Raw genomic sequence first — 16,781 nt, 5'->3', positions numbered from 1 at the left:
TGGAACTCAGACTCCAAGTCCAGTGTTCATTCTCGGCTATCATCCTGCTGTCCTGGGCTCTAGCTTGGACTCTAACTGTTAGCCAGAGAGACCAGTAGCCTTTTTTCTATCACAGATTACCAAAAAAGTAAGTTATAGATCATTTAAAAGCTTGCAAATGAAATTCATACCTGAGATAAAAATTATTTATAGTAGTGAATATAATATTCTATCACTCTCCATTTCATCCTATTGAAAAATAAAATTAGATGCCTGCCCCAAAAAATGCTATTTTGAAACTTTAAAATGTATATTGTAATAGACCATATTTTTAAAATGCTTACACAGTAGATTTCAGTTTGAACAAACTTGATACTGATGGAAACACCTAGTTTCTGACCTATTTCTAGATGACTGCCTCCTCAAATGCCCTCTCACTGCATTCTCTGAGTCTGATCAGCTTCCTTCCATTAGGCCCTGGGCTTCAGGTGGAGACTTTCTTTTACTGGCATTGCTCAATCCCAGATTTGCATTGCATTTGGATTGGAGTTCTCCCAAACCCACATCCTCCCCCTGCCTCCCTGATCCATCTCAGATTGCACCTATGAAGGAAACTCCAAATGCCTTGACTCCAAGGAAGGCCTCATAGTTCTTAAAATATTGGGCAAGGTGTGGTGGCTCACACCTGTAATCCTAGAACTTTGGGAGGCCGAGGCGGGTGAATCACGATGTCAGGAGATTGAGACCATCCTGGCCAACATGGTGAAACCCTGTCTCTACTAAAAATACAAAAATTAGCCAGGTGTGGTGGCGTGTGCCTGTCGTCCCAGCTACTCAGAAGGCTGAGGCAGGAGAACCACTTGAACCTGGGAAGCGGAGGTTGCAGTGAGCAGAGATCGCGCCACCGCACTCCAGCCTGGGCAACAGAGTAAACCTCTGTCTCAAAAAAAATAAAAAAATAAAAATAAAAAATCACTTATGCAACAGAAAGGAAACTGACCAGAACATATATAAGGAATATGGCAAAAGTTATGCTGTATGAGTCTACTTAACATTTTATATTAAGAAACCAATGTTGATGAGTCTATTACATTAAGAGAAAAGCGCATTATTCCTCTGATAATACATGAAAATCAATGAATTCTTTTATTACAGATATTGAGATAGGATTTCTTCCATGGCTAATGAATGAAGTTGAAAAAACCATGGAATATAGCATGGTGGGAAGAACAGTGCTTGACAGTAAGTTATTTTATCCAAAAATTCATCTCTAAAGTTTTTAGTAGAAAGAATAAATTGAATAACTGAAAGAAAGATTAATTTTACAGTTTGAATATTTAAACTTTTAGTATATCAATTGTATTAATAAAAGTGCAAATTTTTACCCTCAATATTATTTTTGGCTCTTCTATAATTTGCTATCTATTAATATCTTCTGCCATTACTTTATAAATGATACTCTGTGAAAACAGAATATATTTTATATTTAATGCATTAAGTGTGAAGTATGCTGACTTCCAAAAAAGGTTATGACATAGGAAAGAGATGAGGCTTCGTGAAGGTTTTTGTAATCATCTATAAGTGAGCATTATAACTCCTGAAATATACCATAATATGAAAATCATAGTGATGTCTGAACATTTAACTTTTCAGTGTTGATCCGTGAGGTGGTTGAAAAGAGGCTGTGTATGTATGAGCATGGGGAAGACACACATCAGTCTCCAGAACCCGAGGATGAGCCTGGTGGTCCTGGAGCAATGACAGAGTCACTGGAGGCCTCTGAATTCCTGGAGCAGAGCATGTCACAGACACGGGAGCTGCTTTTAGATGGAGGCTACCTACAAAGAACAACATATGACAGAAGGTCATCCCAGGAAAGGAAGTTTATGGAAGAGAGAGAACTCTTAGGGCAAGATGAAGAAACAGCAATGAGGAAGTCCTTAGGGGAGGAAGAATTGTCATAGGAGGGAAGCTTCAAAGTCATGAAACCAATCAACAGCCAAGTCAGCAAGCAATCAGGTAATGATGTGCGAGTCCCCTCAGGTTATAGAAATTATGTTGTATTTAGTCAGTATGTCTTTTTGTGTAATGGACTGGGCCAATCAAATGTGATAAAATTAATTTGAGAATGAAACTTAAATTGAATTCATTTATTTAATAGAATATTCAAAGGCTATATTGTAATTCTAATGAGAATTATATTTAATTACTAGCTTTCTATTACCATTATATGTAACCAGCAAATATATTTTTCCTTAGCCCTTCTAATTTTGCGGGTTAGTTTTTTTTAGTAAGTATGATATTTAATGTTCAATATCAGTGCTGTCAGCCATATAGCTTTTCTTCTCTATAGGAAAACTATTTCACCTACTGTAAGAGTGAATGCCTAGCCAGGCGTGGTGGCTCACACCTGTAATCCCAGCACTTTGGGAGGCTGAGGCTGGCAGATCCCCTGAGGTCGGGAGTTTGAGACCAGCCAGACCAACAAGGAGAAACCCCATCTCTGCTAAAAATACAAAATTAGCCAGGCATGGTGGCGCATGCCTGTAATCCTAGCTACTTGGGAGGCTGAGGCAGGAGAATCACTTGAACCTGGGGCGGAGGTTGCGGTGAGCCAAGTTTGCACCATTGCACTCCAGCCTGGGCAACAAGAGCAAAACTCCGTCTCAAAAAAAAAAGAAAAAAAAGAGAGAGAATGCCTAAACGTTGTGCTACTGAAAGCCACAGTGCTCCCTTCCTGCAAGGACCATCTTCAATATTCAAGTAAGGCTTAAGGAATTCAGTGGATTAGTATATGCTCTCATCTATTTTTTCACATTCCTACTATGAAAAAATTTCAGGCAATGCCAATAAAGCAAAAGTCCCTGTTTGCCCTCATACAGTCTCACTCCCCTCCTCAAAGGTAGATCACTGTTATCAGGTATGAGCTATCTAGGCCTTTTTTGAGGTATTCCTATACAAATGTATTTGAAAATCTAGAAATATATAGCTTGATTTTCTTTATATAAATATAAACATTATTTACATATTTTATTTTTCACTTAAGAGAATGTCTTAGATCTTTCAAGGTTAGTGGCATCAATCTCTTATCTTGTCAAAATATGGTTAAGGTATTACATATTATGACTGTGCTGTAGCATAGGGAATTAACATTTGACTTTTTAATCTGAATGTGTTAGAGAATTTACCTGCAGTATTAAAATCACAAGTTATTTTCTCTCCAAAGCCTTCCTAATCGTAAGCAATAACTGAAGTCTTCAGAGCCTTTAGATAAATAGAGCCTATTTTTCTTTTTACTTATTTTTATTTTTATTTTTTGGAGACAAGGTCTCACTCTGACACCCAGGCTGGAGTGCAGCAGCACCATCACAGCTCACTGCAGCCTTGACCTCCCAGGCTCAGGTGATCTTCTCACCTCAGCCTTCCAAGTAGCTGGGACTACAGGTGTGCACCACCACGTCTGGCTAGTTACTGTATTTTTTGTAGAGATGGGCTCTTGCTGTGTTGCCCAGGCTGGTCTCCAACTCCTGGGCTCAAGTGATCTGCCCACCTTGGCCTCCCAAAGTGCTAGGACTACAGGCATGAGCCACCGCACCTGGCTGAGTCTGTTTTTCGCAAAATACTTACACATATATAAACGTAGTGATTTAAAATAACTTATAATTATTAACCCATTTACCTTAATTTCTTTTAAGTTAGGTACCAAGAATGTATCCACATTTAAAAAATTTTAAAAGAATGCACCCATTTTCCCATATAGTATTTCACTATAACACTTAGGCCTCATGGCAACCTTCTGAAGAATGCATGACAATATTTGTATTTTTTAGTTTCTAATCCTTAATTCGGTCAGCCAGCAAACATTAGCTGAGTGCCTGCTCTGCCTTGGGAATGAGACTGCAGATACAGCGGTGAACAGTCACGAATACTACATGTTTTTTACAGCCTAGCAGTGGAGCTAAATGAAGTAAATGATGTAAATAAAGAAACCAAAGCTCAGGAATTTAAAGTGATTTGCAATAGATGACGAGCCTAGTAGGGAATAGGACTAAAGCTGGAATCCAAATCTCCTTACTTCTAATCTGGTATACTTTCTTCTAATAACTTGCTGTTTTTGTGAGGTACAAAGAATAATTTAAAATAAATTATTGCACTAATAGCATTTTAAAAATTGGAATCACGCCTCTTATCCATCATGGGGCTGGTTCCATCTTGTTAAACAGTCTTTATGATCATCCTAACATTTATAAGATATTAATTTTGGCAAGAAGACCAAAAATTTTTAATTAGGGCTATTGCTGATTATTATTGTTATTACCAATTTTAAAATATCTACAACTAGCTTTTAGAAACCTTAAAATTGGGCCAGGCACGGTGGCTTGCACCTGTAATCCCAGCACTTTGGGAGGCCGAGGCAGGCGGATCACAAGGTCAGGAGATCAAGACCATCCTGGCCAACATGGTGAAACCCCGTCTCTACTAAAAATACAAAAATTAGTCAGGCGTGGTGGCGGGCACCTGTAGTCCCAGCTACTCAGGAGGCCGAGGCAGGAGAATCGCTTGAACACGGGAGGCGGAGGTTGCAGTGAGCCGAGATCGCGCCACTGCACTCCAGCCTGGAAGACAGAGTGAGACTCCTTCTCAAAAAAAAAAAACCTTAAAATTGATTTGAAGTTGATTATCTTTCATAATCTTCTAATTCTCCTTTAGAATGATCCAGTCCATTAAACACTTTGCAGATGCCAGACCTATGCTCTATAAATCCATAAATTAATTCAATTTATTGAAAGAAGTAGATATCTATAAACCCCACACTGAACTGGTTAAGCTTAATTGCAATCCTAGTCCATCCTAGAGAGAAATCAAAATAATTGAGAGGTTAGGGCATTGTCGCTGTGAGAAAGCTTAGAGGTAACACATTATATGTTATCTGGAGAGAAGAATGTTAAATGGAAACAAAGTTTATGAAGAATTTCTTCAAGTACCTGAAGGACTTTCTGGGAAATTACAAGATAGCATTCTTAGGTTCCATATGTCTAGAAGACTTTTCATAACTGTAAGCAACTTTTGCAAATGGTTTGGGAACATAAAACTCTTCCAGCATAGAAGAAAATGGGTACTATTAACATTCAGATGGTTATGGGACCATCATAACAGTTTGATGTGATATGCAAAATGCTACATCCCCAACTATGACCCTCAGTATGACTTTTAAAGGAATTATAAGCTCCAAATACTTTTTGGAGTATAAACAGTACTTGACTTTTTCACACATTTGCTAATACCCTTCTCATAAGTTTTATTTCTTTCTGATGTTTCAGCTAACACTGAGTTAACAGAAGCTAAATAATAATAAAATGAAGAACAGATAGTAAATATATTGAAATTGTCATTCCTGGCCGGGTGTGGTGGCTTACGCCTATAATCCCAGCACTTTGGGAGGCCAAGGCAGGCAGATCACGAGGTCAGGAGATCGAGGCCATCCTGGCCAACATGGTGAAACCCTGTCTCCACTAAAAATACAAAAATTAGCTGGGTATGGTGACGCATGCCTATAATCCCAGCTACTCGGGAGACTGAGGCATAAGAATCACTTGAACCCAGGAGGTCGCGCCGCTGCACTCCAGCCCGGTGACAGAGCAAGACTCCGTCTCAAAAAAAAAAAAAAGAAAGAAAAAGAAATTGTCATTCTTAACATAAATTCCCATATCACTAAAATAGATCAGAGAGGTAGAATGAAATTTTCTCTAGCATAGGCATCATTACATTTAAGCCATCTGAGGGCTATGAGCGTGGCCTGCAAAGTCACTCTGAGCAACACAAGGTGGAGTTTGAAAGCAGATTCAAAGCCAGACCACTGGGCTTGAGTCCTCACATGCAAGCATGTAGTCTTCACCATGGAGAAGGGGGTTTGCCTTTCTCAAAGCTTTTTTCTTTTAAATTAAGAAAAAGAACTGATTTATCAGTCTAGTGTTTCATTTTAAAAACATATGAAAGGGTGGGTAACTTGCAGAAGAAAGTATTTGGAGCCTATAATTCCATTAAAAGTTATAATGGCGGTCATAGTTGGGGAAGCAGCATTTTGCATATTATATCAAAATGTTATGGTACCATAACCATCCAAATGTTAATGGTACCAATTTCTTCTATCCTAGAAACATTTCATTTTATGTTGTTGAAACATAACAACTATATCAGCTAGATTTTTTTTCTATGCTTTACCTGCTATGGAAAATTTGACACATTCTGCTTTACTCTTTTGTTTATAGGTGAATCACAGAATGTATTTTTATGTATTCTGTAGTTCAATAGCCATGGCTGTTTACTTCATTTAATTTATTTAGCATAAAGACATTATGAAAAGGCCTAAACATGAGCTTCACTTCCCCACTAACTAATTAGCATCTGTTATTTCTTAACCGTAATGCCTAGGCCTAACCTCAACCAACCTTCCACAATCTTGTTCACAGTCAGAGACCCAAAAAAGAGTGTTATAAGTGGGGTGTCACTATTGTGAAAGTAGTGCTAATGGTGTTGAATTGGTACCTATGATTCTTCTTTTGAATTAGATTGTATGTTTCATGATCTCAACTTACATTACTAAAATTCAATAAACTGATCATTTAGATGATGTTCTTCTGTTTTTCATAAACAAGAGAATAACATAACTGAAAGATATGAGTTAAAAGATAAGCTAATAGCATTATAGGCTTGCTTATAATCAAGTGTTAAAGAGTTTGAAATTTTAGCATAAAAATATTTCAGATATAAGATGCCATTTAAGCAATTTTAACTTCTTTTTGAAAAGAGAATTCAAAATGAATGAATTTTTATCACTATATTCATTTATGATTTTTATAAATACGAACATTTTTGTGATCATTGTATGTTGTCTTTTAACATTTTAGATTATAACCACTAGGTGTCAGTGAAACCCTAAGGTAAGGTTGACTTGCTGCCAACTTCATACATAATTTCGTGACCATAAAAGACCTTGGTGAGCACAGTTCAAAAATATATTGTATTCCTTGGAATCTTCTAGACTCTCAATGAATATTTTATCTCGCCCTAAAGTTCTCTGCCAGCTCTGTAGGGGTGCCAGACTCTTAAAATGTTCATTTTAGAGTGGACTTTAGTTGTCACATACTTCACTATCTAATTCAGGATCCTTAACAGATGGTCAGTTAGTCTTTGTTTCATCACTTTAAGGATGAGGTTTTCACTTTATGAGCTGCTGTAGATAGCAATTCTGTCTTACTTGGTTTTGTCTCCACAGGCCTGGGCTATGGTAGATGCTTAGCCAATAACATTGTTGGACAGTTCTCATTATTAGAAATTTCTCTATACTGATTCAAAACCTGCCTGTTATAACCTTTGCTTATTGGTCATAATCATGAGGGCATGATTATGGTAGAGGGAGACAAAATGATTTTATTGCCATATCAGCCCTATCATGTACCCCAATAAATTTTTCTTTATCCCCCCCAAGTTTTTTTTCTCCCAATGAGATTCACCACTCTTCCCAATTATTCCTCATATGGCACAGTTTTGGAACTTCCCCACTCACCATCCTGGTTACTATTACTTTTAAATGGCTATTTGGTCAAAGTTTCTGTTAAAACATGTTTCCCAGAATTAGGTAGACAACTATAGGTGTAATCTGACTCGGCAATCACCCATCACCAAATCACTTTCTCTAAACTCAAATGCCTAGAAATCATATCTTCCAGGACATCGGAGAGAAAAAGCCAAAATGAGTTTTGAGCAGCTGCAATGTCACGAAGTCAACAGACTTTGCAGTGGACCCTCCAAGCCTATCTTAACATGTTGCTAACCAACTAGGCTATTTCATTATTGACCCTACAATATGTTAGATGTAACATTAACCAGGGAAGAGGGACTGCTGTGGGAAAACTCATAGCACTAACATAAGAGAAATGGCAGGAAAAAATAGGCAACTCAAAAAGTATAGCAGTCTGGAGCAAAAATTGAGTATTCTTCAGCATGTCCTGACTACATGTTTATATTAAAGTACAATACAGAAATTAATGTGTATGGACAAAGCACCTCTGGAATGGTGGAATAAGGATCTCTGAAAATCTGTTCCTCCATAAAAGCAATGTGAATGCAGGCCAGAATTGCCAAAATCAGTATTTTCAGAACTCTAGAAATTAACCAACGGCTTGCAACAATGACAAACATTTATTAAAGAAAAATGATTGAATCTTAGTAAGAACAGTAAGCTTCATGGCATTTTAACTTGACCTATTTCCATCCCGCTCTTCCCAACTCCACAGTAGCCTTGAAAGTCAGTAACCAAGAAACAGAAGCTTAGGAGCTATTGAAAGGAGCAGAAAGGCTTGGTGCCTCCCCACCCCCACAATAAAACCGCATCTCCAGACAGTTGTCACTACTTGGCATCTGTGGCAGCTCTCTGGAAAAGCCCATTTACAGAGGCATGTCTTTATTTAACCTGACTCAGAGCTTTCTCAGTGACAAAAGTCCTGACATCAAGGCATTAAGAACAAAAAGCAGCAGCAATTGTTTAACATCACAGCTGCCTGAGGTAGAGCAAATAAGAGACTGGCAAAAAAAAATTGAAAGTCTTGAGAGTGCAGTGGTGATAAGGGGCTTTAAAAAGCTTTGACATTTGGCTGGGCACGTTTCTCACGCCTGTAATCCCAGCACTTTGGCAGGCCAAGGCAGGTGAATCACGAGGTCAGGAGTTCAAGACCAGCCTGGCCAACATGATGAAATCCCATCTCTACTAAAAATAAAAAATAAATAAACTGGCAAGGCATAGTGGCGGGTGCCTGTAATCCCAGCTACTCAGGAGGCTGAGACAGGAGAATCACTTGAACCCAGGAGGCGGAGGTTGCAGTGAGCCAAGATCACGCCACTGCACTCCAGCCCAGGTGACAGAGTGAGACTCCATCTCAAAAAATGAAAAAAAAAGAAAAGCTTTGACATTCTCGGGAAACTACATATAGGGTACATGTGTAGGACTGCATGCATGCCCAGAAAAGAGCTAAGAAGGCCTGAATCACTCACTTCTGACTGACCTTAAGGATCTGCACAACCAGGAATTGAAAGCTAAGACAGAGCTATAAACTGCCAAAATAGTAAAGGCATGCCCAACACTTATAGAGCCACTCAACAAAGGATGGAAAACTTACTGGTTCAGGGCACTTAAGGAAATCTCTAATCATCAGCTGACTGCTAAGCTAACTAAGCAGAGACTTCAGTGGCCACACACAACAAAGAATACAAATTTTACAAAATTTTTCCAGAGAAGTCATTAAACAAAGAATAACAAACAGCAACAGAAAACCCAGGTTGGACGGGTGGTACAAGAATATAACTTTCAAAGTTACTACATTATAATTATTTAAAGTGTTTAATTTTCAGCAAAAAAAAAGAAAAAAGTACAAGGCAGGCAAAAAATAGGAACATATGGCAGTCAGAAAAAGCAGTCAATAGAAACTGTTCCCAAGGAAGTCCAGATTTTTAACTTACTAGACAAAGACTTTAATTGGCTATTATATATTCAAAGAACTAAAGAAAACCATGTCTAAAGAATTAAAGTAAGTATGAGAAAGATGTCTCACCAAATGTGAATATCAGTTAAGAGAGAAAAAACATTTTTTAAGAACCAAATAGAAATTCTGGCATTGAAAAGTGCAATAATTGAAATGATAAATTTTCTTCAGGGCCTTAATAGCAAATTTGATCTGGCAGAAGAAAATATCCATGAAATTGAAGTTAAGTCCATTGAGATAATCCACTCTGAGGAACAGAAAAATGAATGAAGAAAAATGAGCAAAGCCTCAGAGACCTGTGGGACACCATCAAGCATATCAACGTACACATCCCCAGAAGGAGAGGAGAGAAGAGAGAAAGGGGCAGAATATCTGAAGAGATCATGGCTTGAAAACTTACTAAATTTGATGAAAAATGTTGATCTTCACATTCAAGACGTTCAGTGAACTCCATATAGGAGAAATTCAAGAGATCCACAATTAGACATATGCTACTCAAACTGTCAAGAGACAGAGACAAATAGAATCTTGAAAGTAGCAAGACAAAAATTACTTTTCATGTACATGGGCTCCTCAATAACATTAACAGCTGACTTCTCATCCCACATCATGAAGGCCAAAAGGCAATGGGATCATATATTCAAAGTGCTAAAAGAAAAAACTGCCATTCAAGAATTCTGTATCCAGCAAAACTATCCTTTAAAATGAGGAGAAATTAAGACATTCCCATATAATCAAAAACTGAGAGAACTTGTCATTAGCACACCTACCCTACAAGAAATACTAAAGGGAGTCCTTCATACTGAAATGAAAGGATACTAGACAGCAATTCAAATCCACATTAAGAAATAAGGAGCACCAATAAAGACTGTATATATGTATATAATTGATAGTATAAATTTACTTTTCTTTGTAATTCTTCTGTCATTTAAAAGACAGTTACATCATAAAGCAATCATTATAAAACTGTATTAATGGGCTTCTAATGTATAAAGATGTAATTTGTAGGGTGGATCACAAGGTCATGAGATTGAGACCATCCTGGCCAACATGGTGAAACCCTGTCTCTACTAAAGTACAAAAATTAGCTGGGTGTGGTGGCGCACACCTGTAGTCCCAGCTACTCGGGAGGCTAAGGCAGGAGAATTGCTTGAATCCAAGAGATGGAGGTTGCAGTAAGCCGAGATCACACCACTGCACTCCAGCCTAGTGACAAAGCAAGACTCTGTTTCACAGTAAATAAATAAATAAATAATAATACTACTACAAAGGAAGGAGAAGGAACAGAATAATACTAGAGAAAACTTTTTGTATACTCTTGAAATTAGATTACTATTAATCTGAAGTAGATTGTCTTAAATTAAGATGTTAATTGTAATCCCCAGAGCAGCTACTAAGAAAGTATCTTTTTACAAAATAGTAAAAATAGCCAGGTGTGGTGGCTCACACCTGTAATCCCAACACTTTGGGAGACTGAGGTGGGCAGATCACTTGAGGTCAGGAGTTCAAGACCAGCCTGGCCAACATGGTGAAACCTGATCTCTATTAAAAATACGCAAAATTAGCCAGGTATGGTGGTACATGCCTGTAATCCCAGCTATTCAGGAGGCTGAGGCAGGAGAATTGCTTGAACCCAGATGGTGGAGGTTGCAGTGAGCTGAAGTCATGCCACTGCACTCCAGCCTGGGCAACAGAGTGAGACTCCATCTCAAAAAAATAAAAAATAAAAAACAGTAAAAGAAACAAGAGTATTAAAAGCTTTTCCTGGAAGATACCCATTTAATGCAAAAGAGAGCAATAATGGAGGAATAAAGGTACAAAAAATACATAAGACATGTAAAAATCCAAATAGCAAAATGGTAAATTAAAATCCTAGCTTATCAGTAATTTAATCAAAAGTAAATGGCTTAAACACCCTAACCAGAAGGCAAAGATTGCCAGAATGAGGGTTTTTATTAAAAATAACCCAACAATACTATTAGAGACACACTTTAGATTCAAAGACACAAATTGGTTGAAAATAAAAGGATGGACAAAGATATGGCATGCAAACAGTAACCAAAAAAGAGCTGGGGTAGCTACATTAATCTCAGACAAAATGGACTTTAAGATAAAAATAGTTACAAGAGGTGAAGAAATGTATTTTATGATAAAAAGGTCAATCTTCAGAAAGACAACAATTATAAACACATATGCACCTAACAACAGGGCTCCAAAATACATGAAGCAAAAAGTGGTAGAATTAAAGGGAGTATTAGACAACTCAAAGCAATAGATATTTCAAAACCCCACTTTCAATAATGGATAGACTAAGGAGAAGATCAGCAAAGAAAAAAATGATGTGAAATATATTATAAACTAATTAATCTTAGACATTTATAGAAGTACTTAACAACAGAATACACATTCTTCTCAAGTGCACATGGAACATTCTCCAGGATTATGTTAGACCAAAAATAAGCCTTAGTAAATTTTAAAATAGTGAAAATTGCACAATGTATGTTCTCCAATCACAATACATTTAAGTTAGAAGTCAATAATAAAAAGAAGTTTGGGAAATTCACAAATGTGTGGAAATTAAACAATATACCCCTAAATAATAAATGGTTCAAAGGAGAAATCATAGAAAAATTAGAAAGTAATTTGAGGTGAATAGAAACAGAAATAGGCCAGATGCTGTGGCTCGTGCCTGTAATCCCAACCAAGGTGAGTGGATTGCCGAGGAGTTCAAGACCAGCCTGGGCAACCTGGCAAAACCCTGTTTCTACAAAAAAAAATACAAAAATTAGCCAGGCATGGTGGTACATGCATGTAGTACCAACTACTTGAGAGGCTAAGATAGGAGAATCATCTGAGCCCAGGGAGTTCAAGGCTACAGTGATGCATGATCATACCACTGCACTCCAGCTTGTCAACAGAGTGAGACCATGTCTTTAAAAAAAAAAAAATACAATATGCCAAAACTTATGGATGCATCTAAAGCAATGCTTAGACAGAAATTTATAACTCTGAAAGTCTATATTTAAAACAGAAGAAACATCCTAAATCAATAACCTAAACTCCCACCTTAAAAAACGAAAAGAAGAGGAAAATAAATGCAAAGCCAGTGAAGAAAGAAAATAATAAAGATTAGAGCAGAAATAAATGAAATAGAGAATAGAAAAACAATTGAGAAAATCACTAAAACCACAAATTTGGTTTTTTTTTGCAAAGATTAACAAAATTGACAAACCCAAAACTAAACTGACCAAGAAAAAATAAGAACACTCAAATTATTAAATTAGGAATGAAGGAAATGATATTTTACCAGCCCTACGTTAATAAAGATTATTATGGGAATATTATGAACAACTGTAGGCCACCAAATTAAATAACTTAGATGACATTGACAAATTCCTAGAAAGATACAATTTACCAAAACTGACTCAAAAAGAAATAGAAAACCTGAATAGATCTGTAACAAAGAGATTGGATTATTAATTTTTGAAACTTCCCACAAAGGAAACCCCAGACTCAGACAGCTTCACCGATGAATTCTAGTAAACATCTAAAGAAAAATTAAGGTCAAACTTTCACAAACTATGAAAAAGAAGAGGGGAACAGTTCCCACCTCATTCTGTGAGACCAGTTTACCCTAATACCAGAATCAGGCAAAGACATCACAAGAAAACTGTAGACCAATATCCTTTAAATATATAAATGCAAAAATCCTCAGTGAAATACTAGCAAACTGAATTTAGCAACATACGAAAAGGATGACCAAGTGGGATTTATCCAAGGAATATAAGGTTGTGAAATCCAAAAGTCAATCAATATAATATGTTATATTCATTACACAAGTTTACCCATATAACAAATCTGCACATGTACCCTGAACCTAAAATAAGAGTTTAAAAAATAAAATTAAAAGAAAAGAATATATGCCATATTAATATAATAACAGAAACCACATGATCATCTCAATAGATGCAGAAACAGCATTTGACAAAATTCAACACACTTTCATATTAAAAACAGTCAACAAAATTAGGAACAGACAGAAACTTCCTCAATCCTGTACAAGGCATCTAGGAAAATTCCACAACATAATACTTAACGGTGAAAGATTGAATGTTTTCCTTATAAGATCAGGAATTAGCCAAAGACACCTTATCTTGCCACTTTATTCAACATTGTACTGGAAGTTCTAGTCATGGCATTTAGGCAAGAAAAAGAAAAGTCATCCGGATTGGAAAGGAAAAATTAAAATATCTTTAGTTGCAGAATTTTAAGCAATCTATGAAAACACTATTAGAAGTAATACATGAGTTCAGCAAGTTTGCAGACCACAAAATCAATAGTTTATAAAAATCGCATTTTTATACATTGGCAATGAACAATCTGAAAGGAAATTAAGAAAACAATCTCATTTACAAAAGCATTGAAAAGGATTAAATACCTAAGAATAAATTTAACCAAAGAGATGCAAGACTTATACAGTACACTGAAAACTACTTAACACTCATGAAGGAAATTAAAGAAGACCTAAATAAATGGAAAGACATTACATATTCATGTTGGGACACTTAATGATGTAAAGATGGCAGGACTCCCCAGAGTGATCTCCAGATTCAATGCAATACCAATCAAAATCCCAACAGACTTTTTTTACGGAAATGGAAAAGCCAGTCCTAAAACCCATATTGAATTACAGGGAAACCTTAGTAGCCAAACAATCTTGAAAAAGAACAAAATTATAGGACTCACACTTCCCAACTTCAAAGCTACGGTATTCAAAACTGTGTGGTAAGGGATAAGGATAGAAATATAGATCAATGGAATACTACAGAGTCTAGAAATAAATCCATACATCTATGGTCAATTAATTTTTGACATATGTTCAAGATCATTCAATAAGGGAAGAATGATCTTTTCAATAAATGGTAATGGAACAACTAGATACCCACATGCTAAAGAATTAAGTCAAATCCCACTTCACACCATTTACAAAAATTTACTCCAAATAGATTATAGACCTAAGTGTAAGAGCTAGAACTCAAGACAACATAACAGTAAAACATTGTGACTGTGGATTAGACAATGGTTTCTTATATATGACATCAAAAGCACAAATGGTGAAAGAAGAAAAGATAAATTGGATTTCATCAAAATTTAAAACTTGTGCTTCAAAGGACACCATCAAGAAAGTGAATAGATAACTCAGAGAATGGATGAAAATGTTATCAAAGCATATATCTAACAAAGAATTTATTATCCAGAATATACAAAGAATTACAACTCGACAATAAAATGACAACCTATTTTAAAAATGAGTAAAGGGTTTAAAGAGACATTTCTCTAAAGAATTTAAACAAATAGCCAATAAACACATGGAAAATGTTCAATAACATTAGTCATTAAGGAATTGCAAATCAAAACTACTTCATACCCATTAAGGTGGCTAAAATTTAAAAAGACAGACAATAACTAGTTATTAAGGATGAGGAGAAATTGGAACACTCATTCAAGCAAATAAAGTTAATGATTTATGACATGACACTGGTCACATCTGGACTCCAGGTCCTAAAAATGAGTTGAAGACCATACAATCACAATACAGAAAAAGACTTGAGAATCCATCTAATCCCATTGATCCTTAGATTTGATTCAGTCCACAAAAACTATCAATCCATGGCAAAAACTGAAAAATAAAGACAATACTATAAGTTTTTCCCAATTAAAGAACTGTCCTTTATTCTGAGATTATATTAGAGGAGAGGGTGGTGTGAGAAATTAAAGATAATAAAGAGTAGTTGTTCAGAATTTTTTCCCCTAATTGTCCATTCTTAAAATTGTTTTTGAAAAGTTATTGGTCTGTGGAACCCAAAAGTCTTGGAACATTTGTCCATACCTCCCTCATTGTTTGAATAGGGTACATATATTAATGATTCCTGATAACTAGGAAAAGTTATTTTTATCAGGGGTAAGAGGAGGGGTAGAAAATTTACTTTCTAGTATATCACTTTTGGGATCTATGGCTGTTAAAAATTGTTTTCATTGTTATTTATTCCATTTTATTTTATTGAGGCTATTTGGAAGTTACTAGAAATTATGGCATAATTCCAGCACTTTGGGAGGCCAAGGCAAGAGGATTGCTTGAGCCCAAGAGTTTGAGACCAGCCTGGACAACAGAGTGAGACCCTGTCTCTACAAAAGAATTTTGTAAATTAGCCTGGCTTGGTGGCACATGCCTGTAGTCCCACCTGCTTGGGAGGCTGAAGTGGGAAGATTGCTTGAGCCTGGGAAGTCAAGGCTGCAGTGAGTTGTTGAGCCATGATTGCACCATTGCCCTGCAGCCTAGGCAACATTGTGAAACCTATCAAAAGAAAGAAAAGAAAAAAGAAAAGGGAAAAAGAAAGAAAGAAAAGAAAGAAGGGAGGGAGGGAGGGAAGGAGAAAGAAAGAAAGAGGGAAAGAGAAAGAGACTGGGAAGGGAAGGGAAGGGAAGGGAGAGGAGGGGAGGGGAGGGGAAGGGAAGGGGGAAGAAGGGGGAGGGAAGGGAAGGGGGAAGGAGGGGGGAGGGAGGGAGGGAGGAAGGAAGGAAGACTGTGAAACCCTATCTGAAAGAAAGAAAGGAAGGAAGGAGAAGGAAGGAAGGAAAGAGAGAGGAGGGAGGGAGGAAGAGAGGAAGGAGATAAATTATGAAAAAGAAAAAAGATCTCTCCTAATTTCACCACCAAAATTGAGTAAGAATTATCACTTATAACATTGCCTTTCAGTCTTTTTATGTATATGTTTGTAATTCCATAAAATTGGGATGATGAATATAATTTTATTTTCTGTTTTTATCATTAAATATATTTTGTGTTTTTCATATTATTCAGTATTCCTTACAGATAGTACCTAAAGTGCAATTATTGATTTAATGATGTCCTACTGCTGGTCATTGAAGCTTTCCTAATTTTTTACTCTTCTAAAATTATAAACAACATTTTCAATCATAAATGTGTCTTTAAATCTTTCCTTGGCAGATTCCTACAAGTGAGATTACTAGGTCAAATAATGAACATTTTTAGGCTCTTGATATATATTGATGATAAAAGAAAGATTGTACCAACTTTTTACACTCCCATCAATGTCAGTGGAATCTGAGTAAGTTGGATTTTACCTTCTTTAATAACACATCTTTTATGCTAAAAGATAAATAGTAGGAATTTTCACCTCACCTCCAGTAATGACAGAACAAGACCCAACTGGAGGAGTCCCAACAGAAAATATCTATAAA

At 36.4% G+C, this 16,781-nt stretch overlaps 1 protein-coding gene across 6 annotated transcripts in view; it reads left to right on the top strand.

The window, feature by feature from the left end:
• The window catches only part of RSPH3 (radial spoke head 3), a 37,223-nt gene extending 20,722 nt beyond the window's left edge, over window positions 1-16,501 (top strand). For 3 of the 6 annotated variants that reach the window (NM_031924.8, NM_001346418.1, XM_047419393.1), the window contains 2 exons: window positions 1,135-1,221; window positions 1,633-6,610. In NM_031924.8, the coding sequence (NP_114130.4) occupies window positions 1,135-1,221; window positions 1,633-1,943 (398 nt within the window). In that variant the 3' untranslated portion in view covers window positions 1,944-6,610. Of the gene's footprint in view, window positions 1-1,134; window positions 1,222-1,632; window positions 6,611-6,887 lie in introns of those variants that run through there. The other 3 variants (XR_001743670.3, NR_144434.1, XR_001743668.3) reach the window with 2 other exon arrangements.

Source organism: Homo sapiens, chromosome 6 (assembly GCF_000001405.40).
Source record: "Homo sapiens chromosome 6, GRCh38.p14 Primary Assembly".
Lineage (NCBI taxonomy): Eukaryota > Metazoa > Chordata > Mammalia > Primates > Hominidae > Homo > Homo sapiens.
The sequence above is the reverse complement of the archived record's forward strand: the minus strand, read 5'-3'. Positions and strand labels throughout refer to the sequence as shown.